The following is a 27,932-nucleotide window of genomic DNA, read 5'->3' as shown; positions in this document are numbered from 1 at the left end:
AAACCCCATCTCTATTAAAAAATACAAAAAATTAGCCGGGCGTGGTGGCGGGCGCCTGTAGTCCCAGCTACTCGGGAGGCTGAGGCAGGAGAATGGTGTGAATGTGGGAGGCGGAGCTTGCAGTGAGCCGAGATCGCACCACTGCACTCCAGCCTGAGGGACAGAGCGAGACTCTGTCTCAAAAACAAACAAACAAACAAACAAACAAAAACTTAAGCCTTTAAAAAGAAAAAAGCCAAATGCAGCAAAAATAAGAGGTGCCACATACTGAGCATCTACTATGTGCCGGGTTCATAATCTGCGTTTTCCAAGACTATTTCTGATTAATCCAACAACCCTAATCCATTTTATAGATGAGGAAAACTGAGGCTTAGAGAGGTTAAATAATGTGCCTAAGGCCCCAGGGCTAGTAAGTGAAACTAACACATACCACCCTCAACAAGAATCCTTCAGCTTCAATCAAATTAAAGTCACAGTAATAGCAAAAATTACCTGATAAACAAGTGCACCTATCCAGACAAATGACAGTTTCCATGTCAGCATTACAGACTCAAAAGCAACACAGAACACCCTAACCCTTTTGTGGTTCTAGGACAAGGGTTCTCAAAGTGTGGGTCATTGACCAGCAGCAACAATCACCTGGGGACTTGTTAGAAATACAAATTCTCAGACTCCACTCCAGACCCAATGAATCAAACTCTGGGTAGGGCTCAGTGAGCTGTGGTTTAGCAAGCCTTCCAAGTGACTCTGATGCTCACCAAGGTTTCAGAACCACTGCTCTAAGATCTGTGCTCTGATCTGGCACAGATTAGAAACAACTGGGAATATTTAAAAAGCCCAAACCCCAGGCCCCACCTACAGATATTCTAATTCCTCTAGTCTGGGGTGGTGCCTAGTCATTGCTATTTTTAAAAACACCCCCAGATACTGAGCACTGCCCTAAAATAACCTGTCGGCTCTGATCCCTATCCCTGTCTACACCAGCCACTCCTAGGTTGCCATCTATCTCCTCAAACCACTGAGAAGCTCTAAACCAATTGAGTTCCAAAGTCTTCCTGTTGCTCTCTGAAAGTTCCAGACGCTATGCTGAAGACACTTTTGGGAAGACTCCTCCCCCACACACTCCCTAAGGAAAGGTCAAGCCCCACCAGGCCTCCTGCCTGGGACTCTTCACATCAGGGTCTTGCTCCATCAGTCCTACATAAAGCTTGCTTAATTCCTTTCTTGAAGGTCAGGCCCTGCACTTGCTTCCTTGACTATGTTTGTTCTAGCCCCTTTCTCTGCAATAGCACTTTTCTAGCCTTGACCTCTGGCCACACTTGCATCTACCATCCCCTGTACAGATTCCTTGATGGTCACCTGCCTGCTCCTGGCTGACTAACCACCACCTTTGAGCTTTGATCCTCCTTTCTTCTCCACAGGCTACAATGCTGGGAGAAAATCTTGAATCTCCTAGAGAAGAAATTCCGTGAAAGACTCCACAACCAACTGAAACCAGAGCCCATTGAGGTTTGCCAGCCCTAATAACAGCTCCCATACAGAGTGCGTTCCAAATGCCAGACACCAGGCCTATCCTATCTCATTTAATTTTATTTAATCAGTTCTCCAAGGTCAAATGTCAATTTTAATGAAGCATCACTTTAGTTATGCAGTTTGTTCTTTCGAAACAAGATAATTATGATATTAAAATCTGGATTAAATGAGCATATGACTGTATTTGATATTTGGAAGAGGAAAATTCATTCACAGTTACCATTATGCCTATAACTAATTATTCTTCCAAAGAATGAATCCGGGCAACACACACATTTACAACATAAATACTGTACTGACCATTGTGAGGCCCCATTCTTTAGCATTCGAAGTCCTAACACCAACATTATCAAGTGCCTGTAATTGCTCCATTCTCCCACCATTTTTCTTTCTTCAACTTACGGCAAAATGTCCTTGGAGGAGACACTGTGGCTTCACTTGGCACAAATAATAATATGAACACAAATGCACATAAGGGGATGGATATCTCAGATCTCGTTAGTGATGAAACATTCAAATCATCCAGAATACACTTGTATTAATTCTAGGATCATCCAAAAAAAGGCAAATTTTAAGATTGTTTAATGTAAGTTTTAGATCCCCAAAGACCCTAGTTTGAAAAACAATGGCTTGATTTAATCTTTTTGGTAACCATAAGATCAAATATTAAGAAAGAAGGTATCTTGATTAGGAGTTTCCAATACAGAAAATAAAGAAAGAAAGAAAAAAAGAAGGTATATATGGTGAGTTACAGTATAAAATAAACATTTAAACTGAATACAGTATTATCACTTCGTTTAACATTCCTTTTAGTACCACATAACATCCTGAATACTAGTTTAGGGTCATCTTACCTCTTTAACAATAGCCTCCCAGCTGGGCTTCCAGCCTCCAAGCTCAGCTCTCCCAACCCTTAACATCTCCGCAGGGTCATGTTCCTTCCTCCAGCAGACACCCAGGTCTTGAAGTGTAGTAACTCCTAAGGCTGTCCTACACATGTTCTTCAGCTGCTTCTTTTGACCTTAAAAATCTCTTTTCCATCTAACTTCTCTCTTCATTCCTTTCTTGAAAGAATTATCCCTCATTGCTGCTGAGGCCAACCTCTTTCCTATGACAGATATGGAAGTTCATGGTTATGGCTTCCAGTTACTCCTCCTGAATAAAATCTGGGGTTCTTCAAGTTTGGATTATTCATTCACAGCTTTTGGTTACATGTTGATTTGAGGCTACAAACAGAACAAGAAGTGCTAAGTTTCTCTTGGAAGCCAGGCAGCTGCACTGGAGTATACCACAACTTGGACAGCAAGGAAGCCTTTGTACAGTTTGGGTAAAAAAATGCAGAGGTTAGAAAATGCTTCCTTTTGAATGATCAAAGGTTACAGACAAAAACACTTGGCTTCTCAGAGGTGTGTGCTTTTGATCCTCTGCCCAAGACTTGTGCTCCCCTAGGGATGGACCAAAACTACCACTTAGACCACCACGCTGCGCATGCCACTGCATTCATTCCTTCACTGACTGCAGCCTATTGACTCAACACCTGCCTTGTAAGGTGAACAAACAAAATCCCCTACTCTCAAGAGAGCTTGCACTTTTCATAAATTATCTCCTCTGATCTTCATAACTGCCTTTGGGGAAGGCACATTATTCTCACTGTCTACACGTGACAGGGAGCTCAAGCTGCCTGCTCACATGCCTTTCTTGACCCTGGAAGGCATGGCGGGGTCTGAGGGCAACAGCCTGAAACAGTACTGAGACAGGCAAGGGCCAGACTCCAGAGCCTGTGTGCCAAGTTGGGGATGGAAAACATTCCTTAACCTCAGCAGGCTGTCTCCTCATCTATAAAACAGGGGCAACAGGGTTGTTGGGAGGGTTAAATGGGTTAATACAAGTCAAAAACCTGCAGTGGTGCCTGGCACATCACAATAGCTTGCGGGTTTTTTTTTTGTTTTTTTTTTTTTTTAATTCTGGGCTGCCCCCTTCTTCTTTCTGCAAGGGTCTGAGGCCTATTGTTGGATCCAGGCACAGCCTTCTAAGGTAAACTATTTTATTTTGCTTTTGATCTCACATCTTCTGATTTCATGACTTGTTTTTCAGTTTTCATTTTCAAGTTTTCCCTTCTGTGTCCTTCTATTTTTTTACAAACGGGCTGGGATCCTGCTCCATATAAAAAGGGAGGAAGAAAAGGATCCTCCTTAATCACCTGAGGCTGGCCTTTGCTTTACCACCAAAGTCTTTAAATTACTTGGTGGCATGGTGATATGTGGAGAAACAAGCCTATAGTTGGAGTTCCTGGGTTTAAAACCTGGCTATGATTTGAATGTGTCCTCTTCAAAAGTCAGGCACTGCCAATATGATAGTATTGAGAGGTGCGGCCTTTAAGAGGAGATTAGGCCATGAGGGCTCCTCCCTCATGAATGGGATTAAAGGTTTTTATAAAAGGACTTGACGGAGAAAGTTCGTCTAGCTTTCTTCCACCTTCTGCCATGTGCAGACAGCCTTCTTCCCCCAGCAAGACACAACGAGTAGGTCTGCACCAGACACCAAAGCTGGTACCTTGATCTTGGACTTCCCAGCCTCCAGAACTATGAGAAAATAAATTTCTGTTCTTTATAAATTACCCAGTCTCAGGTATTCTGTTAATAGCAGCAAAAAAAAAAAAAAAAAAAGACTAAGACACTGATTTAGCCACTCACTCACTGTGTGACTTTGGGTGAGCTACGAAGCCTCTATGTCTTGGTTTCCTGATCTGTCATAAAGGTTAGTAACAAAGGTACCCACCTCATAAAACTGTTGTGAGGATTAAAGAAGTTAATGTGTTTAACATGCTTAGACCAGTGCCAGGCATGTGAAGGTGCACAAAGCTTGTTAGCTGCTATTTTATTCACTACACTTGGTGCTTCTACTTTCTCCTGAGCCATTAAATTCCTAAACTCTAGTAATATGGCTTATTTCAGTCTGTTAGTGCTGCTATAACAAAATACCAAAGACTGGGTAATGTATAAACAACAGAGATCAAGATCATCAGCATGTTCAGTGTCTGGTGAGGGCTGTTCTCTGCTTCCAAGATGGTGCCTTGCTGCTGCATGCTCTGGAGCAAAGGTCCCCAACCTTTTTTGGCACCAGGAAGACATGGGAGACAATTTCACGGAAGACAATTTTTCTACCGTCTTGCAGGGAAGAGGGGATGGTTTAGGGATGATTCAAGTGCATTACATTGATTGTGCACTTTATTTCTATTATTATTACATTGTAATATATAATGAAATAATTATACATCTCACCACAATACAGAATTAGTGGGAGCTCTGAGCTTGTTCTGCTGCATCTAGATGGTGCCATGTGGGGATAATGGGAGACAGTGACAGATCATCAGGCATTAGATTCTCACAAGGACACGAAACCTAGATCCCTCACATGCACAGTTCACAATAGGATTCATGCTCCTATGAGAATCTAATGCAACTCTTGATCCAACAGGAGGCAGAGCTCAGGTAGCAATGCAAGTGATGGGGAGCAGCTGTAAATACAAATGAAGTCTTGCTAGCTGCTCACATCCTTCTATGTGGCCCGGTTCCTAATGGGCCACGGACCAGAAGTTGGGGACCCCTGCTCTGGAGGGGACGAGCACTGTGTCCTCATATGGCAGAAGGGAGAAGAGGCAAAGTTGGTCTCTCAAGCCCCTTTAAATGGCACTAAGCTGTTCATGAATACAGAACCCTCATGACCTAATCACCTCCTAAAGGCCTTATCTCTTAATACTGCTGCACTGGGGATTCAGCTTCGACATAAATTTTGGAGGGAACACAAACATTCCTATCAGAGTAGCTTCTTCCACCACCACTGCTGCATGAAATTAGATACAGTTGGTCCCCCCTTTATCTGTGGTTTTACTTTCTGTAGTTTCAGTTACCAACAGTCAACTATGGTCCAAAAATATTAAATGGGAAATTATAGAAATAAATGATGCATGTTTTAAATTGCATGTCATTCTGAGTAGTGTGATGCAATCTTGAATTGTCCTGTCTGGGAGGAGACTCATCCCTTGGTCCAGCATATCCACACTGTATACTACCCAATCCATTAGTCACTTGGTAGTTGACTGGGTTATCAGATCAAAAAGACATAGTATGTATAGGATTTGGTACTATCTGCAGTTTCACGCATCCACTGAGGGTCTAGGAATGTACTCCCTCCCCTCGTAAGGGGGGACTACTGTAACTTATCAATGGTCTACTAAATTGCTAAAGTCAATGCCTGTTCTTTGGCTTCATCTTCTACAACAGCTCTGTACATTGCCAATAAAAGTTTCATTTTTGAAACTCTTCAGTTTCTTATCTGTCTGTTCCTTTTAGCCATATTAATTGACCTCTCTTGATCTTCTAAGCCTATAAACAAGGACTTCCTTCAAGGTTCTGTTTCCAATATAATTTCCTTCTGAAATTCCAATCGTTCTCATACTTCCAACTGTGCCTGAAACCAAAATAATCTATCTAAGCTGCAGTTATCACCTTGACCCTAAAATCAATTCTCCTTGGCCTTCATTACTGGTACCACTATTCTGTAGGTCACCATTTTCTGGACAACACTTTTTCCTTAATCCCAACCATTAACTGCTGTCCAGAAATGTTCTATCCATTATTCAGGCCCATTTCAAATGCTACCCTCTCCATGAAGCCTTTTTCCAAATGAATGTACTTTCTATTTTGAAACCTCAGAACTAGATTTTTACTGCTCTTATTGTACTACTTTACACCAAAGTAAACTGTGTCATTTAGATCTCTGTCTAATCTCTGCTCTTAGATTTAAAATCCCTTAATGGCAGAAATTGATTTGGTCTTTGTAGCCCTTAGTACTTATCACATGCCTTGAATATGATAGCTGGTCAATAACTGCTAAATAACAAATGCTTTGGACGGTAGTAACCCGATTCTGTAGTCTTCCCCAGCCACACCACACGTCTCCCTCCTCTGTGCTATCTCATGGCTCTGTGCCCTTGTTCATGTGGTTTCCTCTGCCATACATGTCCGGCTCCCTCATTGCTGCTTCATGGACTTCAACTTACCCTTCATAATCTAACATGGACACCATCTCTCCTTTAGTGAAACTTCTCCCAACCCTTAGTAGAGGTAATCACTTCTTTTGTGCCTCTAGTGATTTGCAGATACAGCAGATCTTTTGTGCAGGAATTCAAATACTGAAAGAAAATAACTGGGTGTGGCGCTGGTGTGAACCACCAATGGCTGCTCAGTTATGTAATGGCAGCCCAGTCCCCAGGATGTGAACAGAACAGAGAAATAAAAACTTAACTGGTTATAGACTATTTCATGTCATAAGAATCTCACCGATTTCAGAATAAAAGTTATTAACCAACCAGAGCATAGGAGAAATCCCAGATGTGAAAGATGAATGATACACTTGAAATAGAAAAGCTAACCATACCAACCTTTTCTTCTTTAAAAAACTGATATGTAATAGCTGTACATACTTTTGGGGTACATGTGACATTTTGATACCTGCCTAAAATGTGTAATGATCAAATCAGGGTAACTGGGATATCCAACACCCTAAACACTTATCTTCTCTTTGCCAACACCAACTTTAGATGATGAAATCAAGATAGTACGGAGAGACCTTTCAAAAGTGCTGTTGCATCATCCACTTCAGGTTGTCAAGCTGCTGTTACCACAAATCCCAATATAGGGTGCTTAGGAACACTCCTATCTACAGGCCAATGAGAATTTCCAGTAAATACAAATTTCACAAACATACAGGCAGTACAATGTATACATATATCTTTTAACATAAGCTTTTTTAATGTCCCTTTTTCCTTAGCATAAGATATATATACACACTATATGTCATATCACATCTTAAGTATTTAAAAACCATACTTTAAGGTAAGGTATGTAAACTATTATAACTTTCATCTGTTTCAGATCAAATCCCAGATATGACAGGTAGGCTGTCTGTGCCTTCATTACAATTAGTTGTTCATACCTGTATTTCTTCCACTAGACAGTAGGTTTCTCAAGAGCAGCAATCACATCTTACTTTTTACCTGGCCTGATGTCTAGCACAAGGGAGATATTTCATACTCATGAAATGAACACTTGAATGACAGAGCTATTTTTTCATAAGTCTCAATTTGTAAATTATTTTAGAAATAAGTTCTCAAGAAGTCATGACTGGTTTTGTTGCTAGAAACCTTTATGATAAACTTTGTGTAAGCATCAAGTTACTTTAAAATTATGAGAAGTCACGTTATTAGTTTGAAAAGGATAGTAAGGAAAAAAAAGGAGCTAATAGCCAGAGTCTAGTCAATTACCAAGTGGAAAAAATGCCACTAAAGTCTCTCTCTGTTATTTTGGTGAGCAGATTAACTGCTTTCTAGTACTGGTGGTTGTGACGCTAGGTAAAAGGGGAAATGTAGGGCAGTTGCTATGCGTTGCCCAATGCAAGATCAATATTCTTTAAGTGGTATCCAGCCCTGTGATTTCAAAATGGATGTGTGCTTAATTCACTCCAACATGTGAATGTGTCTTATACCTTTCATCCAAGAGGCTGTAAGGCTAGAGGCATGCCAACCCTGTGTCTGTGCCTGTCTGTGAGGGGCACATGTGTGAATCAGGTCAGAGATGGCCACAGACACATAAGCTCACTGCTCTCCAACACAGGTTTCTTCTCTATCACAGAAGGGAAACTAACACACCTAGCTTCTCAACTACTTTAAGAGATTGGCGAAAGCATTTATTGTTCAGGCTTATTAGCTACAGATAATCAGGATCATCAATTTTGAGAGGAGGAAGACAACCCAGAGATCATTCAGTGTGGCGGCTCTCAAATGTTTTAGCCATGAACACCTTTTTCCATAAGAATGCATATTGAAGACCAATATGTACAACAAAGGTCAGAGAAGGAATCTTTACCAACCTTTCGGGAACCATGAAGGAGATTCATGAAATCTCTAATGTCCATCACAGTATAATGTTAAAAACCTCTGATCTCATACCCATTAGGATGGCTATTACTAAGAAAAAAAAACAAAAAAACAAAAAGAACACAACTATTGCCTCATGCATGACAGTCTTAACACCACCACAAGGCCAGTAGCTCCCTACATCTGCCTCTCAACTCCAGCCCTTCTCTTGGCCTCACCTTCTCCCCAACTTCACCTATTAACTAAGCCTAAAAATCAGCCGGGCGCGGTAGCTCACACTTGCAATCCCAGGACTTTGGGAGGCTAAGGCGGGCAGATCATGAGGTCGGGAGTTAGAGACCAGCCTGACCAACATGGTGAAACCCTGTCTCTACTAAAAATACAAAAATTAGCCAGGCATGGTGGTGCACGCCTGCAATGCCAGCTCCTCAGGAGGCTGAGGCAGAAGAATTGCTTGAACCTGGGAGGTGGACACTGCAGTGAGCCAAGATCACGCCTCTGCACTCTAGCCTGGGTGATAGAGAGAGACTCTGTCTCAAAACAAAACAAAACAATCATTTCCAGTTAGTAAGCCTACTCCCCAAGATCCTCTCAGCCCTAAGCTAGATGTCCCCCATATGCCCTGTAACATCCCTGCATCTGTGTACCACAGCACCTACCAAACTGTGTTATAGTAATCTGAACTCCTCTACTGTAGGCTCCTGACCAAATGTCATTCATCTTTGTACACTGAGAACCTAGACCCTGCCTGGCTGTGGCTGGCCCTCAGGGAATGTTGACTGAATAAAGACATTTGTTGGTAAAGTCAAGATGAGACCTGGTGGCTCTTTCCACTGCTGTAGCTGATGGCCTCTCCTGATAACGTAACCTCTTATTTAGAAAATAACTACAGAGAAACAAGTACAATTCATTCTCCTGAGTAATTCAGTAACACCCAAGTTACCGCCAACTTTCTGGGATGGAGAAGGCAGTGGAGAAATGAACTGCAAAAAAAGAAAGGCCTTCTTCTTCTCCTTTCATAGACATCTGTTATTTTTACAACAAATGAGGAGGACTCTTCCTGGCAGTTTGAGTGACCACAATTTAAATCAATCCATTGAGAACTCATGTTTTATATTACAGTGACCTACATGCTGGTAAGACCTTGAGGACAAGCAGTCTGCAATGGAAAAAAAAATATTTGAAGGCTATGTCCTCAGCTCCATGACTTTTCTAGGCCTGGTGGAAGGCAGGCTCAGCCAGAGAGGAAATATTTTTAGACACGGCTGCTTCAGAGTTGTAAAAATAGGCTAAGTGACTAGCACATTTGTCAAAGCCCCAGAGCACTCTGACCACAGGACCAAGTAAACATGCCAAGCAGAAGCACACTGGATTTATTTATCTTTGTAAATGTATCAAGAAGATTTGAAGCAGCTTTCTCCGAAGCACAACTTGAGTGGTGAGTCTATGAGACCTACATCAACTGGTCTGGTGACTGGTCTCCCTCCCATCTCCTCCCTCAACAGTTCCACTGGATGTCCCATGTGCCTAGACATTACAAGGAGGGCCACCGTTTTCATCCTCTCTCTGGAAAATCCCAAAGTTATGCAAACTATCTACCACACATGATTTCTGACTTTCTTCAGATCCCCAGAATAAGTAGACTGAGTCAGAGCTCCCTGAGGCCAACTGTGCTTCAGAGGCTGCAGCGCCTTAACAGCAAGGCCTGCCTTTTACGGTTGTCATGGTTTGATCCAGAGAGGAAAAAAGTCATACATCAGTTGCATCTCTCAGGGCTGGCATTTCTGGGTTTATGATTGTCTCTGGTTGTGTAATGTCTTGAACTCTGCCATCAGCACAAGTTGTCTTCCCTGACTTCAACAATTAGCAAAAGCTGTTCTGTTGAGGATGTCAACCACCACCACCACAACCAGCTGGTTTGTTCTTTTTTTTTTTTTTTTTGAGAAGGAGTCTTGCTCTGTTGGCCAGGCTGCAGTGTAGTGGTGTGATCTTGGCTCACTGCATCCTCCGCCTCCTGGGTTCAAGCAATTCTTCCACCTCAGTCTCCTGAATAGCTGGGACTGCAGGCATGTGTCACCATGCTCAGCTAATTTTTGTATTTTTAGTAGAGACAGGGTTTAACTTTGTTGGCCAGGCTAGTCTCGAACTCCTGACTTCAAGTGATCTGCTCGCCTCAGCCTCCCAAAGTGATGGGATTACAGGCGTAAGCCACCATGCCTGGACTGGTTTTTTTCTTCAAACAGTTAAATTAATTGGACAGACTCCTTTATTAGACTTCGAATTTTACATTTCAAAAAGTATTTCTAAAAGGCAAAGAAAGTGTGCGCCCATTTTTAGACTAGAATTGTGTTACATAGTTTTTTTTTAATTCAGTAAGTGTGTAGGTTTCATAATAACCCAGATAACCTCTCCCAGACTTCTCACCTCCCACAAATTCTGAAAAGGTAAAGGGATAACCAGACATGTCAACAGCATCGTTATATTTAAGAATCCCTGGAAGATGTTGCTATGATGGACACTTTCCGGGTAGAGGAGAGTTATAAATCCAAATGCCTCTCCAGGAAGACTAATATGACAATGTTTGCCATGATGAGTGGGTTTTTTCTTTTAGTTTTTGCTGAAAGGACCAATTAAGAGGCTCCCATGACAATTCAGGTTAACACACCTGGTCTAGGAACTGCAAAGGAGAGGGCAGAGGAAAGAGCTCTCCCATGACCAAAAAGTTACAGAGCCTTTTCTGGTATGGAGACACTGATTGTGATCCCATCTTCAGAGTACATGTGGCTGGAAGAACAACTGCAGCAACAGGAGGGGCAAGCTCTCTGGAAAAAGCTGGAGGGGAAATAATGAATTAGATCTTGGCAGGTGAGTTTGAGTCTACCATGGGCAGAAGGATGGCAGCACAGCACCCTGATGTAGACGACCAGCAGGTAGACTAACTTTGAGTCCAGAGCCAAGGAGACGTCAACCTGGGATGTACTGATTCCAGAGAGCCACAGAGGATCCCCTGCCATGGATGCCACACTTCTCCCCACAATACAGCACTTGCCAGAGGTGCAGGCAGAACTGAATTCAGGCTTGGGGATTTACAGGCAGCAGAACAGAAGAGAACTCAAGTTCTAACCCCAGCTCTGCCTCTGACCATTGACCCCAGGAACCATCTCTGCAGGGGTGATTATTGTAATGGTCACATGAAATTAAATAAATCAAAATTCTTTGAACAGAATAAAGTGTCATATTTTGTAGAGTGGTTTTAGCTCTACAAAAACCAGTAAATGGTACACTATCTTTCTCAACAACCCACATAAATAAGTCTTAACATCTTTAGAATTGCTGGAACTCCCTATATCAAAACTCTTCCGACAGTGAAGACAATCTAAGAGAAATCCTCACTAGATCAGGTCTGATGGGTCTATGTGAAAGCAGCTAATATTTATCAGACAGTTACTATCAAACACACTAATGCTATTCTAGGAGCTTGTATATTAGTTCATTTAACTTTCACAGCTGTCAGGTGAGTCTCATTATTCCCAGGTAAGTAAAGAGGCAGAGAGGAGTTAAGTGATTTGCCCAAGGTTCCTAAAGGCAGGATAGGAAGGCTAGCATCTAAACCCTGGCAGGGACCTCATAGCCTGTACTTTTGAGATTAGAATACCACTACCAGAAATAATAACATCATGAATATAACAGGGGGAGCCACAGAGAACATCCACATTATCTTCCTGTGGTCCCAGGAGAACTAGAGAGTGAGGTGTGTGTGCCTACCACAGATAAGAGAGAAGGGAGAGGGGAAGAAAGAAGAAACTCAAGCAAGGGGCAAGTGATTAAAGCTGGAGGCAGAACATGGCAGGAAAATGCCAAAACCTGACTGACTGAAGTGCCATTTCTGCTCTAAAAAATGTCCAAACATATCCCATAGCATTATTTTCTGTTGCCTGTGAGCCCTACCTCTTCTACCCTCTAGGAATGACAGTATCTCCAACCTCACCCAGAGTCCAATAACTAATATGCTAATAGAGGGTGGTTCTACATCCCAGTACCTCAACCAAGAGCAGAGAACAGCCCAACAAAGATAAGCAACAACTCGGGAAGTAGGGGGAAAACTTCATAACAAACAGACACATCTCATGTCCTTCAGCAGGAAGGTAACAACTGGGAGTACAAATATTCCCTCCATAAGGAACAGTCAAAAGGAGAGCTTACAGCCAGGTAACTGCTGGTCTCCTGTGATCCTGAAACTTCTCCTAGGCATCTGTACTGCTTTGCAAGCAAAGCAGTACTGTACTGTACAGCTCAACAGAGCTGTACTCACAGTAGAAGAGAATAAAGCTAAAAAAATATGAAACAACTCTGATCATTCTCTTTTTCAGCATCAGAAAATGCAGATTTGGGGGCAAGAAGAAGAGATGAGAGAACAAATCCAGTGGCTGGGGAGAAGCTTTCAGGTCTACCTGAATCCTTATCAAGCATGGTAGAGTCACACAAAATCCCTGCAACGTAGCAGGCTCTCCCTGCCCTTACTTTGTTTTTAATAGCCAAAGAAGCTCTCTCTAGAAAAAATATGCACTTTCTGCTTTTTAAAAAGGAGGAAAAAAAAAAAGCAAGCTTTGGGAGAGAAGAACCTATCCCCAACCCCCTTTAAGATGCAAACTTTCTCACTTCCTCAAAGAAGAGTAGTGCACTAAAAAGAAGGTTGCACCCGGAGAGCATGTAAAGTGTCTCAAGGGGGACATCTGAAGTGCCCCGTTCCCAGGGAGCCCACTGGCTCCTCACAAGTAATCTAATGAAAGCTATGCATTCTCTCTGGGCTCCTCATATGAAAAAACCCAATGTATGAAGCAAAGCCTAGAAAGGATTCAATACTGGAGAAATGCACACAGCTACCAGCTTTCTTCCTTTCTTGTTTTCCTCTTTATAAAGCAAAAAAACAACCTGTCCCCCACTCAAGGCTCATTTAATCCTATAAGCTTCTTTATTGGCCTAAGTATCCAGTGAAGATAAATTAGCAATCAAAACCAAGTCAGAAGTGTGTAATAAGCAAACACATGAAACAAGTTAACTTCAAATATTAACCTGCAGTCTAAGGGATTTTTTGTTTTTTTAATTTAAAACAAACAAAAGAAATGACAGGCAAAGTAGATACTCTCGGAAAATACACATGTACAAATGGCCTGTGCTCTGATCAAATGTAATTAAGCACTGAACTTGTCTTAAATTGCTTAATTGCTTGAGAAATGCATCAGGCTCCCACAAAATCTATTTAAATATTTTTTCATCCTTCTGAGCACAAACTGACGTGTTTAAAATGACAAAACTATTAAAATTATAAGCAGAACTGCACCTTGACTAACATTAAAACCACGTCAGAAAGTTCAAGAAAATTAAGCTAATGAAAATCAGTAACATAACCTCAATACTAGTTTGTGATTGTACTTTTATGGCTTTACTAAAGTTTAACAATAAAATGGGGGGTAACTAAAAAGTGTTCTCCCTCCTTTCAGAGGTCCCTGAAAAAACATACCCGCTGCAGCATCAGCGGGTATATGCATTCAAGATTAAGCAAGATGAAACAGGGAATCATGACCAATATTCTCCATCTAAACCTTACAGGCCTACCTCAGCAGCTGTGATCAGGATGGGAGTGGATATGAGGGGAAAAGGGCAAAAGGACAGGACAACTGCAATGAAGATGATGATTATTCTTTTTATTTATCTTTTTGAGACGGAGTCTCGCTCTGTTGCCCAGGCTACAGTGCAGTGGTGCGATCTCGGCTCACTGCAACCTCCACCTCTCAGGTTCAAGAGACTATTCTGCCACAGCCTTCCAAGTAGGTGGGACCACAGGCACATGCCACCATGCTGGCTAATTTTTTTGTATTTTTAGTAGAGACAGGGTTTCACCATATTGGCCAGGCTGGTCTTGAACTCCTGACCTCAGATGATCTGCCCCCCTCAGCCTCCCAAAGTGCTGGGATTACAGGCTTGAGCCACCATGCCGGGCCGAAGATAATTATTATAAAGGCAGCTAACTTTCTGTGAACTCTTATTACATGCCAGACACTGTGTAAGTGCTTGACATATGCTTGATATATGTAACTGCTTGACATATGCATGAATTCATTGAATTTATTCAATTCTCTCCCTACGAGGCCAGTACTAGCATTAGTCTACTTTAGAGATGAGAAAACCGAGACACAGAGGTAAAGTCCCATGTTAATACTGCATGAGGCAGAGCTAGCATGCAGACCATCCAACTTCTTATATTGAACTGTAGCCCATCTGTACTCAAAACACATCAACTAATTCGTCTCTGGCACTCAATAAGCAAAACAGATTTACCCTATGCCAAAAGCTGTTGGTCAAGGAGCATAAAGAATGAAGCAATACTGCCTAGAACTGCATGCTACAGGGTAGGGTGCAAAAGCAGATAAGCTAAACCACTGCAAAGCATTGCTCACAAATGTTTTAGAGGATTGGAGCTGTCAACTAAAGTAACTGAGGTTTTTCCAAACTGTGTTACATAAGGATGGAACTGTTTCTTATGGTCGTCCACTTTATAGATTTCTGGTCTTTATAACCTTTCAGAATGACAGTTCCATTATGTGTCCAGCCTATGGCATAAATAGCTTTTTTTTCCCTTAAGTTTCAAAAGGCACTCCCTGGTCCACCTATTTAAGAGTTTGATTGACAAGCACAAGCCTGTGTTCTCCATTAATGTCAATCATTTCTCCTTACTCCTTTGTCAGGTGAAAGCTCCAACACCATACCTGTAATTTTAGGTATTGCCCCTCTGCCTTTTAATGCAACACAACATCCATTTTTGGCCAATGATGGATGCAGCATTCAAAGAACTAAGCACTCTGATTTTCTACAAAAGTTGAAGTGACGCTTTCTACTTAGTTTCTAATCTTTTTCCACTGCTGTCTTCAAGGACACCAGCCACAAGTTTCTGGATCCATTTCCCATAATGTTCCTGGAGGCTGCTTAAGGCCCTAATATTTTGTTACTAAGATGTTGTTAAAATGTTTCTAAAAAACACATTGTTCTATTCCTGCTCACAACAAATCTCACTCTCACAGCCTTGGGAGATTTGGGTGGAGCCTGGGAATACAAACGTACTCAAACTAAACTTTCTCTTGAGTATAACCTGTGGAACTTTTAGGTTAAAGGGAGTTACTCCTCCCAGTCCACATACAACATAGATTATGGGGATACTATAACCTAGCAGCCAGGGGATCCACACAATAAAAAGGGCAATGTATGTCCAAAATTATGGTCTCAGAGGAAATGGGAGACTGTAAGAAGTCATATAAATAAAACATTACAGGGATATAGCTTTTAGAAGAAAATGCAATCAAATAAAAACGTTGTAAAAAACTTGCCAAGGAGAAGAAAATTGAGATATATAATACCTAATAGTAAAAGGTTTTTTTGTTTTTGTTTTTAAAAAGCAAGCATGAAAGCGTGGACTTGGTTGGAAACAAGACATTGAAAAAGTAAACTCTCTCATGACTGTAGCCACAGTAGTACTGTCCCCAAGAAAAATTAGATGACTATAACCGCCTTCCCCAACAAACCAAGTTGCAAAGGACTGAAATGCTAAGAATATAATCAGCTAGGATACGAAAACCATGGTTCTCCAATGTGAGCTGAAATGGAATAATTTTTAAAAAAAAAAAGTACAAGCATTACAGTAGCCAGGTAATCAATCACTCGCACAACTGAGCCTGAACCACAGCTCAGCAGAACAATGGAAAAGCCCTGAAGATGTACAATGGATAAAAGACTTGTTCCGGCTGGGTGCAGTGGCTAACGCCTGTAATCCCAGCACTTCGGGAGGCCAGGCGGGCGGATCACCTTTGGTCAGGAGTTCGAGATCAGCCTGACCCACAAGGTGAAACCCTGTCTCTACTAAAAATATAAAATTAGCCGGGCGGGGCGCCTGTAATCCCAGCTACTCGGGAGGCTGAGGCAGGAGAATCGCTTGAACCCGGGAGGCGGAGGTTGCAGTGAACCGAGATCGCGCCATTGCACTCCACTCCAGCCTGGGTCAAAGAGACTCCGACTCAAAAAAAAAAAAAAAAAAAAAAAGAGAGAGACTTATTCCGCTGCAGCGCCAAAATCGCAAGCTCAGAACTCTGCACAGACGGCACTATTTCAAAGGTCAAAACCAGGACCTCAGCAATCTTCCATTAGGTGACTTTACAAAGTGCTACAAAAGTCATGACTACTACTATTCTTTACAACCTAGCAAGCGAAGGAAAGACCGGGGAGAGCCGGGAGGCCGTTTAGGAGAGAAAACTACTTTGACAAAGACTGCACAATTACAGAATAAAAATCAAAAATAACTGATAGAATTAAAACTGATCGCAGTTCATGTCTTTGGCAGCAAACTCCCGTTTGAGCCGAGCAGGAACAAACGCGTTATGCCTGAACCTTGTGCACATACAATTCTTTCTTCTCTTGCACGGCCCGCTTCCAAAATGCATTCACCGCCACTCTCCATGGAACCTTCAGCGGGCCCTGGGGGCAGCCAGAATTTTCCAAACGAGGAAGCTGAGGATCGGCCCAGAACCCTGAATTTTGAGGGGAGTGAGACTTGGGCCCTCACAGGCCCAGACGCGAGATATTTCAACTACACCCGGGAGGCGCGGGGTGAAAACTCCCTGGTGTCGGGCGGGTGCAGGCCCCTCGCGGCCGGTCGCGCCAGAGCTTCCACCTCAGGGTGGGCGGCCAAGCGCGTGGGCACGCTGCAGGGAGGGCCGCTCACCTGGGCAATGCCGGCGCCCATCAGCCCGCCGCCGATGACCGTCACGTGCTTGACGATTATCTTCTTGGCCGAGGCCGAGGCGGTGGACGAGGAGGACACGGAACGCATGAACTGCCTGGTGACGAAGGCCATGGTGTGGCAGCGGCGGCGACAGCGAGGAGACCCGGGCAGGGAAGACGCGCGAGGCGGGCAGCCGCGGAAAGCCAGACTCTGGGGGCGGGGACCTACGCGGCCCTGCAGCCCGCGCGCCCCCGGCGTCCCCGTGACGCCACAAGGCGGGGGCGGGGCCTCGAGTCCCGCTCTGCCCATTGGCCCTGGCTGTAACGTCCCAGCGTTGAGCGGGTATACACGCGCGGGCTCGCAGCTGTCAGCAGCCGGAGCCCGAGTGAGCGCGGGCTTGAGACCTGCTGAGCAGCGGGACCTGGCGGCTGGCGTTCTGGTGTGGGGCCGAGAACAGACCCTTCTTCTGAAAAGCCACTGGCCCCTTGTTCTATGAAGTGAGTGGTGTTGACTCTGTAAAATGCTATCCTTTGATGACATGTGCATATCTAGGCTCTGAAGAAATATGTGCTGCTTGGCTGTGTTGGTAATGGACCCAAAATGTGCACCGTTGGTTGATGTCACCAAATAATCAACTCGGGATTATTTTAATCCCGTGGACAGTGATTGTTTCCCCTAAAAGGGAAATAAATGTAGACTGCGAACACCCAAAACAAATGTCTAGTGACCATGAGTTACAATGCAAAAATCAGGCTCAGGGAAGGTAAAGAGAGAGTTGACCTTTAGTTACCCATCTTGACGTTGGACGTCTATCAGTGCAGTGAACATGTGGACGGTTTAAGGTCATAGAGCAACCTTTCTGGAATAACGAATACTATTAGAAAGCATAGGAAAGAAATGTCTTGTCAAATAATGGAAGACTGGATAGCAGCTTGGCCAATCTTCTCACTCAGGTGAATACTTTCTAATTACTGTAACTTAGTGATATAGGATTCTTATTAATTTATTTGCTTTATGTTTAAATATTGTTAACAAAAAAACTTCAAACAAGTTTAGCAGAGTTTATCTGAGCAAAGAAAGCATGAATCATGTAGTATCCTGAGCCAGTAAAGGTTCAGAGAGCTCCAGCCCCTAACAGTGGGCAAGCCGCGTTTATAGACAATATTTTTTGCAGCCTGTAATGGGCTAAAAGCTCCGCTGCGGTGATTGGCCAAGACTTGGCCACTTGTTAGAAGAACGTACTCTCAAATTACATTGCAGTTTATTTACATATTAGGTTTGATTATGCTTTGCTAGGTAGGGAGGCAACTTTAGGCCAGATTTAATTTAATAACAGTTTCCTCCTTTGGGTCAGCCTCTCAGTTTTACGAGATTGACCAGAACCTTGTTTTGTCTCAGTATGGAAGTCACAATGTCAAATTAGTTGAGTGATTATACTTTCTTCATGTTGTTATTCTAACTGTAATAACACCATTTGGTGTACAAAGGATGGCTGCATAGAGACATTGAAGACTCTCGAGGGGACAACAACACATCAGGGAGACTATTATGGCCACGAGAAGGAGTATAGCAATAAACTGAGGTACACACCTTAACAGGAGTCTCCACAAACTGAACTGATCAAAATTAAACAATTCAAAGTTCAGGCAATAAAGATAGTTCAAAGTATTTGAGTCCAATTGGTCATGGTCTAATTTAGGGCATTATGGCGGTTAAGGACTGCTAGAAATGCTTATTTCTTGGTGCCGTAAAGAAATAGCACTTGAACATAAAATTAATTTCTTTAGCAAGGCCATTTTTACTTTCTGCGGAAAGAGTACACTCGCCAGCAGTTTTGCCACAAGAGTACACCGAACAAAGGAGGCAGGGTCATTTATAACCTGACCCGTCCACCTTACTGTTGTGACTGGTTTCCATTGGCTAGAACGGGACTTCACATTCTGTATTTGTCTTGATTGGCTAGCAACTTAGAAATTCTTAAAAGAGGCAAAGGCAGAGGAGAACAAAGGAAGGAGGAAGTAACTTGTGGAATGCTGAGAAGGGAAAAACACCTCTAAATAAGGAAGAGGAACAGGCTATGACCTAATGCCCACTTGGACCAGTATAAGCATGCCAGGGCAAATATTTAGGCTAAATTGTGGGAGCTAAGAACATAAAGTACATTGATTTCTTTATTACAGCTAGCAGATATTTAAGAATGTTAACAGGTCTTTGAATAAATTTTGCTTCTAAGAGAGGTTACTATTTATTCCTAATCAGATGAGGAGGAAAGTCTTTGAAAAGGAACCTCTACTTTACTTTTTACAAGGACCATAGTTCACTGAATGACCTGATTCAGCCTTATGGCCTGATTTAAAGAGGTATCCATTTTTGTAATTAGCCTGGTAACACAAGTTATAATAACCTGGAGAGCCACTAAAGAAGCATAAAGATTAGAAAAGTTTGGAATAGCCTAGCTTGCCTTTCACTACTCAGGATGCCTACAAACCAACCATTAGCTGCTCCCATAAATGTATCATGTGTTCCTTTCCCCTGAGAAGTTTCCTTAATATATTCAGTGGCAGTGTTTAGAGAAACAGCAGTATCTGCCACCTTTTAAATTAAGTTTTCTATAGTAGTAAAATTAGAGGAAAAATAAGTGCAACATTCAGTTTTATTCAGCACCATGCAAGAGCCCCCAGCATGAGCAAAGAGGAGATCCAAAGTTGTGTAATGTTCCATGAAGTGTGTTTGTTGAACACAAATGTTTTGATCCACTGAGAATATTTGAGTAGCTTCTACCATGTGAACCCCTAGGAGGTCTGACTGGCTACAAATTCAAGATTTTCCCCAATTTATAGATTAGTTTCAAATTCCATACAACAGGCACCCTGCTAATGCCAAGAGTGAGTTCCAGCACCTCCATTGGAACCTTTCCTCAGTAGAAACTAACTTGTCTTCATTTATTTTTAGGTTGGTGCTTACTTTGGTTATTGACTGCTTTAACCTCTGATTATGAAAGGTATTATGGGAACTTTCAGGGAAGGCTATTGGGATGTAGGAGCGAGCCAGGCCAAATAGCAAGATCTGAACCAGTGAGGAAACAACAGAGAAGGCAGGTCAGATTATCCACCAACCCAATGTAGGCCCTTGGGGGCTTGAAAAGAGGGCCACTTAGTGGTGTTTGAGCCGAGGTCAGTTAAATTTGTCCACCCACAAGTTGGCATAGCTCCTGAATAAAATCCAGTGGTGAACTTACTCTTCTGTGGTCCCTATATAGCATGTTGTAAGGGTGCAAACCACTGGATCTAGTAAAAAGACTTTGCTAGATTTAATCCAGTGAAATCACACAAGCAATTATTTGTACCCACATAGGTAGTCCCCAACGTCTTAAGTATGCAATGCCCGGAAGCACAAGATACCTTTTGCAGGCATCATTCTGATAGTTTTTTTTTTTTACTTTTATGTACAATTGACAAATAATAATTGTACATATTTATGGGGTACAGTGTGATGTCTCAATGCATGTATATGTTGAACAATGATCAAATCAGGATAATTATTAAATAATATGTCACTTTAAGCATTTATCATTTCTTTTTGGGGATAACATTCAAAATCATCTCTTCTAGCTATCTTGAAATATACAATACATTATTATTAGCTGTAGTCATTCTACTGTGTAATAGAATAGCAGCTTTTATTCTTCCTGTCTAACTGTAACTTTGCACCCATTGACCAATCCCCTCTATCCAGATTTTTTATATTTGGTAACAGTTTGGTTATTAACTGGAAAGATCAAGATACTATTTTCAGCAAGTATAGGAAGGCAGGTAGCAGTGATGTGTAGCATATCAAAGATAACCTTCCTCTCTTTCCTTGGGGTTGCAGGGTGACTCTCATTAGGAACACAGGCATTAGCGTTAATGAAATTGTTTCCAGATTTTTGCGCATTAGCTCATAAACCCAACAGTTACTCTGGTTTCTTGGAGACCATAAGACTTTGCCAAAGCCATCCACAGAGTATCATCCCAAATTGACAAGGAAATTCAGTTATTTCTGTTGCATACAACATTTTGAGATAACAACTAGAATTACGATTAATAGCCTTATACCAGGACTATTAGATTTCTATTAATTTCTTACAAGTTCTGAAATACATATTAATAACATATCCTTACATATATAATTCAAAAAAGTCTGGCATTATTTAGGGTTTTCCTAAAGAAAGGGAAGGAATTAGTATTGCAGGAAATAGAGAAAAAAGGAAAAAAAGAGAAGGCTTTCATGATAGCAAAGAACTCTTGATCTGCAATATTAGGAAAGCTGTCTACATATAGGATGCCATATGCTTCTAGGGAAAAACTTCCCTGATCAGCTTTATTTCAAGGTCTCCAACAAGTTTATAGTTCCAGAAGTCTACAGGACCTCTTTTGTGTTGAGAAATGCAGATCCAAGATTCAAGGCCTTGAAGTTTGCTGCAGAGAAGAACTTGGTATGGTCCCTTTCAACCGAGTTCAAGTAATGTCTTTCTCTGGAGTTATTTCCAAAAGACCCCCACCTCCAGGTTCTATATTATGAAACACTTGGTTGTCATCAGTTGGTGGGTCATGAAGGACTTCTTTCACTTGGTAAAAATATGCTTTGGCAGAATGCATTCAAGGCTTGCACTATTAAGTCATGTCAGGGTTTATAAGAGGGGAAGATACATGAGACTTTATTATTAGGGGCATAAGCCTTCCAGTAACTATTTTATGAGGGGTCAATTTATGTTTTACAGTGGGAATGGATCTTATTGCCATCAATCAGTAATACCTTTGACCAAGGCAATCCAATCAATTCAGTTAGCTTTTCCTAAGCTATTGTGTTTATAATACCTGTTTAACTGTTTTACAGCGTGTCCAGTGAAATGCATACCTCTCTGTTGCTAGAAATTTCTCCGGCAATGCCCCATAAGGGAAACATATTTTCCAATAACCTTTTAGCTATTGTTATATCATTGGCCTTCCTGCATTGGAAATCTTCTATACAACCAGAAAACATGCATTTAAAGTGGAAATTGAATGAAAGCCATTTGTAGGTGTTCAGGAAATGTATCACCTGAAGTTTTTATTGTCTTACCACAATTATGGGTTTGACAAACCAGACATTGGTTATAAACTATTTTAGCAATTTTATAACAGTCACCCCACCAATCTTTTTTCATAATTTGAATCATTTTATCTCCTCCATAATGAGTCATGGAGTGCAGAGCTTTTAATATTGGAAGATTTAAGACTCCAGAAGAACCAGGCAGCCATCCAGGTTCTTCATGCATCCAGGCTTAACATTGGATTTAATTCTCTTAAATACCAACTTTGTTTCCCCAATTCAGGTGCTTATAGCACTATTTATTGAATAGGTTTTATCAAATGTAATTTGACTTGGATCAATATTATATAGTTCATTCAAGTTGTATATCTTAATTTCAGTACTGGCTTAATTAGCATGAAATTCTGCCCAAGTCATTTCCTTTGTATTATTTTTATTCTGTGTGACATTAGGTTAGCAGTTTTATGAATCAGTCAATTTCTTCATTAGAGTCTGGGAATTCTTACCCAACCCAATGGTGTGATTTTAAAGTTATGAGAAACCTGTAATTCTCAGAGTTCTTTCCATAAATCTCCTTGAAGATGTACACTTTAGGCTTATGGTTTCTCAGAAAGTATCAGAGTAAACAATTAACTATCTGTGAATGACAAGACTTAAAATGGCCATGACTTTAAAGATCTGGGAAGAGTTCATTACAATAATGACACAATTGACAAGGAAACTCAGTTACTTCTGTTGTATTCAACATTTTAAGATAATTACTAGAATTATGACTGATAGCTTTATAGCAGAACTATTAGATTTCTATGAATTTTACACAATTTCTGAAATACATATTAACACATTCTATACAAATATAATTCAAAAAAAGTAGTATTATTTATTATTTTATAATCCTTTCCATATAATTTAATATATCAGATCAGTCCAATTACTTTAATATGTCTCTTTCTATAACAAGAGATATCCTTTTGAGATATTCTGAAGGTGCATATGGAAAATCTCAAAGTTAATTCAATTTCAAGAAAAGACTTAATTTAGAATTTTATTTTGGAAAGTTTATAAAAAATATCAAAGGTTTAAAACATTTGATCAAAAAAGGATCACAAGTCACTGTGAACAATAATCATTCATTTAATCAGAGTGGTAATTTAAAGACTTCAAAGGCAAATACAGAGAGTTGCAGAGTTGTAAATTACATTTTTTAATAAAGCGGACTCAGTTTTCATAAGTGATCAAAAACCCAATAAAGGCAACATGAAGCACAGGAAATTATCTTGGTAAAATACAGAATCTTTGCTTCCTAGGCCAATTATATAAAAAGTAAAGAAAAACTTTTCATAATTTCCTATCAAGAGCAGGCCAACAATTCAAGAAAACCTTATTGTTTTAACAGAGAGGACTACATTCTAGTTTTGCATCAGTGTACTTTTGATATTAATGCTCAACTTTTGGAGAAACTCAAATAATTTTCTTCTAATATTAGCCAGCTTAATCACACATAAAACTCCATTTATAAGATTCATCTTCCAGAAAACTTCTACAACTTCCTTATCTGTTCAGTTTTTGTCCTGTACTTTTCCTCTTCACATTTTGGAACAACCAGTCATTCTATTTGAGGACAAAAGTTACTCTTTTTTTCCCTTAACAAAAAAATTCTCATACCTTATAACTTTTTCTTAACCAGAGCACATCTTAACTTCCTGATACACTTGCATATAGAGTTTTTCTCTATTTCTAATAATTCTATATATTAAATAAAATATATTAATTAGAATTTTTTTTTAATTTGAGATGGAGTCTCGCTCTGTCGCCCAGGCTTAAGTGCAGTGGTGCAATCTCGGATCACTGCAACCTCTGCCTCCCAGGTTCAAGTGATTCTCCTGCCTCAGGCTCCAGAGTAGCTGGGACTACAGGCATGTGCCACCATGCCCAGCTAATTTTTGTATTTTTAGTACAGATGAGGTGTCACCATATTGGCCAGGCTGGTCTCGAACTCCTGACCTCATGATCTACCTGCCTTAGCCTCCCAAAGTGCTGGGATTACAGGCGTGAGCCACCATGCCCAGCCACAATTAGAATTCTTAATCCTTAGTGACCTTAACTGCCACTGAACACTACAAAGCAAGCAATTGTGAACTGTCACATCACCCATGGAACTGCCACATCACTCATCTGTACCTTGGCAAATCCATCAATCATTACTTCTAGAAGCATATGCTTTCTTATAGTACAATTCATCAGTGTCGCCTAGAACATGTTTGTAACAATTACAAATATCTTTAGTGTATCAGTAATAAGAAGCTGTAGAGGAGACAAAATTTCATCTCTAGCCTCCTAGGTTTTCTTTTTTTAATGCTAGGCCTAAGAATTAAATTGTGGTTTGTACAGATTTCCCTCAAGTTCAGTTTTCCATCTTGATAAGAATGTTAAGACCTTCTAATATAGGAAGGACTGTTTTACATGGAAATTTTATCTTACATCTGTTTAACTCACTTATTTTTAACAATTATGCATAGATTGTTTATAAAGATGAGACAGTAAGCAGCTAGTCATCATCTAAGTTATTTCTCTTGCTGACATATTTTGCAATATAGAGGTAACATAAGTTTATTTTACCAGTGAACCTAGGTAGGAAAAGTTATGTGCCTGTATTATATTTAATGCTGAAAATTCTGAAGACATGACTGTTTTAATGAAATCAACAAGATTCTTATTTACCAAGATCACCCAAGTAATGTGAATTTGAAAAGCATTTTAGTTCTTAATTTTCTGAGTGAATACTTCATTTATATTAGCACTTATTTTTGAAAAACCCAAATAAATAGAGCACTTTTTCAATTCAATTTTGGCAATATCATAAGGAGATACAAAAATATCACACATGTGTCATACATACAGATCTGTCCATAAACGTATAAGCAGATACAGATCTTCTATAGCTTTCATTTAAAATTTTTAGCCATTTGCCAGGTGCACAATAATATAAAACTCAGTAATTTATTAAAAAATATCTGAACCAGAATTGTTTTCCTGGCCAATAGAATAAGATTTCCTGCCCCCATGGGTAAAGCTTTTAAATAGTATTTGTGAAAAAGATATTTAAGATTTTTTTCATTTGTTTTCTGTAAGCAACCTTATAAAGAGGCAATCTTTGCTTTATTTGCTGCTTTAGATGCCTGTACATACCAATTTAAAAATATATCCCATTGCTTTGTGGCATTTTGGATTCTTTTTTTAATGCCCCTGCAAATGAACAATTTTATGTATGTTAAAATTTCCCCATTGTAACAACTATAATTCTAAGTTGTCCTAGTAAGGGACATTTTTTTCAAAAACTCACAGGTTCTAGGCCCATAATTTTTGTGCATAAAGTTAGCTGGCATACCAAAAAGTGGAGTCCCAGATTCTTGGAATCCCAGACTTTTCTTTTTCTTTTCTTTTCTTTTTTTTTTTTTTTTGAGGGAGTTTTGCACTGTCACCTAGGCTGAAGTGTAGTGGCACAATCTAGGCTCACTGCAACCTCTGCCTCCTGGGTTCAAGTGATTCTCCTGCCTTAGCCTCCCAGGTAGCTGGGATTAAAGTCGCCTGCCACCATGCCTGGCTAATTTTTATAATTTTAGTAGAGATATGGTTTCACCATATTGGGCAGGCTGGTCTCGAACTCCTAACCTCAGGTGATCTGCATGCCTCAGCCTCCCAAAGTGCTGGGATTACAGGCATGAGTGCCTGGCTGGAATCCCAGACTTTTTTTTTTTTTTTTTAATTTGGAGAAACCTATTTTCAAAAGATACTGACCTCAAGCCTCTGACTGGATCCAATTCAGTTACTTAGATCCAATCACATCCCAGATCCACTCCACTAAAATTGCTCAAATAAAGTCAGAGAGGTCAAAACAAAAATTCATAGAGCTTGAATTTAAGAGAGAACTCTGCCATGATCCCAGTTGCTGTGAGAGATGAGTGGGCACATAATCCCTGGTGGGTACCTTCACTTGGCCATACCGTGCTCCTGTGTGTCCCTGGAGGTCTGCTTTGGGTCCCACTTCTGACACCAATCTATTAAAATAAATACTTTAGACAAATAAAATTTAGTAGAGTTTATTTGAGCAAAGAAGTGGTTCATGAATTGGGTAGCACCTTGAACCAGTAACAATTCAGAGAGCTTCACCCAGCAATAGTGGATAGGTAGTATTTATAGACAGAAAAAGAAAGTGACATATAGAAATAACCTGATTTGTTACAACTGTTTATCTGCCTTATTTTATCATGGTCTGAGCAGTTGCAGCCTGTAATTGGCTGAAATCTCAGTTGCTATGATTGGCTGAGACCTAGCTACTTGTTACAAGAATATACTCTCAAGTTAGATTGTAGTTTGTTTACATATTAAGATAGGTTACAGTTTACTACGTATGGAGAGAACTTTAGGCCATATTTAATTTAATAGTATATAATAAAGACCCACGAACATCAAAGAAGTCCTCCGCCTACTAGAAGTAACTGTCATAGTGGATCCTGTGTTCACTTTTTTTTTGCTTTGATCTCATCTTTATATATAATTCTGTAAAAAAAATTTCAGAAAGCACTGTTGTTGAGCCCCATGTTAGGCTTGGGAGATCACTACTGGCTGAAGAGAAAGTGTTAGGTTCAAATAATAAAATCTGTTAAGTGCTAGACTGTAGCAAATGCAAAAACCTATAGGGTATAAATGAAAAATGAAGATTGCATAGACAAACTTAGTAACTTGAAGCATGAGTCAATTTATGAAGAACAGAGAATTTGCTTCAGAGGAAGCAACAAATTCAAAGGCAGAAGCATGAGAAATTAAAGCAACAGGAAAAGGGGGTGAGGAATTAGGTGTGGTTAGAGATGAAGCTAGGATGATAGATTGGGAGGATGATTAGGTGGGTTTTTAGTCCTCATTTACAACTTGTGTCAATCCAAGGCCGAACATAGTCTAATTACAGTGTTGTCATATATTTTTTAATGAAATTTGTGTGTAATGGACAGCAGTGATGCTTCAGAATGGTACATTTTCAGATCTGTAATTATTTTCCTTGGGAAAGAAAAAATAGCCACTTGTCTTAGTCTACTTGGGATGCTATAACAAAATACCACTAGTTTGGTGGGTTATAAACAATAGAAATTTATTTCTCACAATTCTGGAGGCTTGGAAGTCCAGATCAAGGCACAAGCAGATTCATCCTCCTTCCTGGTTCACAGATGACTCCTTCTCATTGTAACCTCACGTGATAGAAGGGACAAGGGAGCTAGCTCTCTGGGGTCTCTTTTATAAGGTCTAATCCCATTCATGAGAGCCTGCCCTCATGACCTAATCACCTCCCTAAGGCTCACCTCCAGATATCTTCACATTAGGATTCAACATAAGAATTTTGAGAGGACACAAACATTCAGTCCACAATACTGCTGCAGTATTTTTTTTTTAACAATTCTCAAATCTGAGGTATCTATAGTATGTAAAGATGTGATGTGGCCAGGTGCAGTGGCTCATGCCTATAATCCCAGCACTTTGAGAGGCCAAGGTGGACAGATCACTTGGGCCCAGGAGTTTGAGACCAGCCTGGGCAACATGGTAAAACCCTGTTTCTACAAAAAAAAAAAA

The 27,932-nt window shown here is 40.7% G+C and overlaps 1 protein-coding gene across 4 annotated transcripts in view, besides 1 other annotated feature; it reads right to left on the bottom strand.

The window, feature by feature from the left end:
• HADH (hydroxyacyl-CoA dehydrogenase) overlaps positions 1-17,416 on the bottom strand; it is a 45,283-nt gene extending 27,867 nt beyond the window's left edge. For 3 of the 4 annotated variants that reach the window (XR_007096395.1, NM_001184705.4, NM_005327.7), the window contains exon 1: positions 17,241-17,416. Coding sequence is in view for 3 of the 4 variants with exons in the window: in NM_001184705.4 (NP_001171634.3) it covers positions 17,241-17,372 (132 nt within the window). In the remaining variant the exon portion in view is untranslated. Of the gene's footprint in view, positions 1-2,387; positions 2,695-17,240 lie in introns of those variants that run through there. The other variant, NM_001331027.2, reaches the window with a different exon arrangement.
• Positions 17,420-17,649: a silencer, noted in NCBI's record as "silent region_15614". NCBI's record gives its function as "represses an Ori minimal core promoter by ATAC-STARR-seq in GM12878 lymphoblastoid cells {active_cell/tissue: GM12878}" and the evidence as "EXISTENCE:reporter gene assay evidence [ECO:0000049][PMID:35858748]".

The sequence above is a fragment of the Homo sapiens genome, chromosome 4 (genome assembly GCF_000001405.40).
Source record: "Homo sapiens chromosome 4, GRCh38.p14 Primary Assembly".
Lineage (NCBI taxonomy): Eukaryota > Metazoa > Chordata > Mammalia > Primates > Hominidae > Homo > Homo sapiens.
Note: the sequence above shows the minus strand (reverse complement) of the source record. Positions and strands in the feature narration are given on the sequence as shown.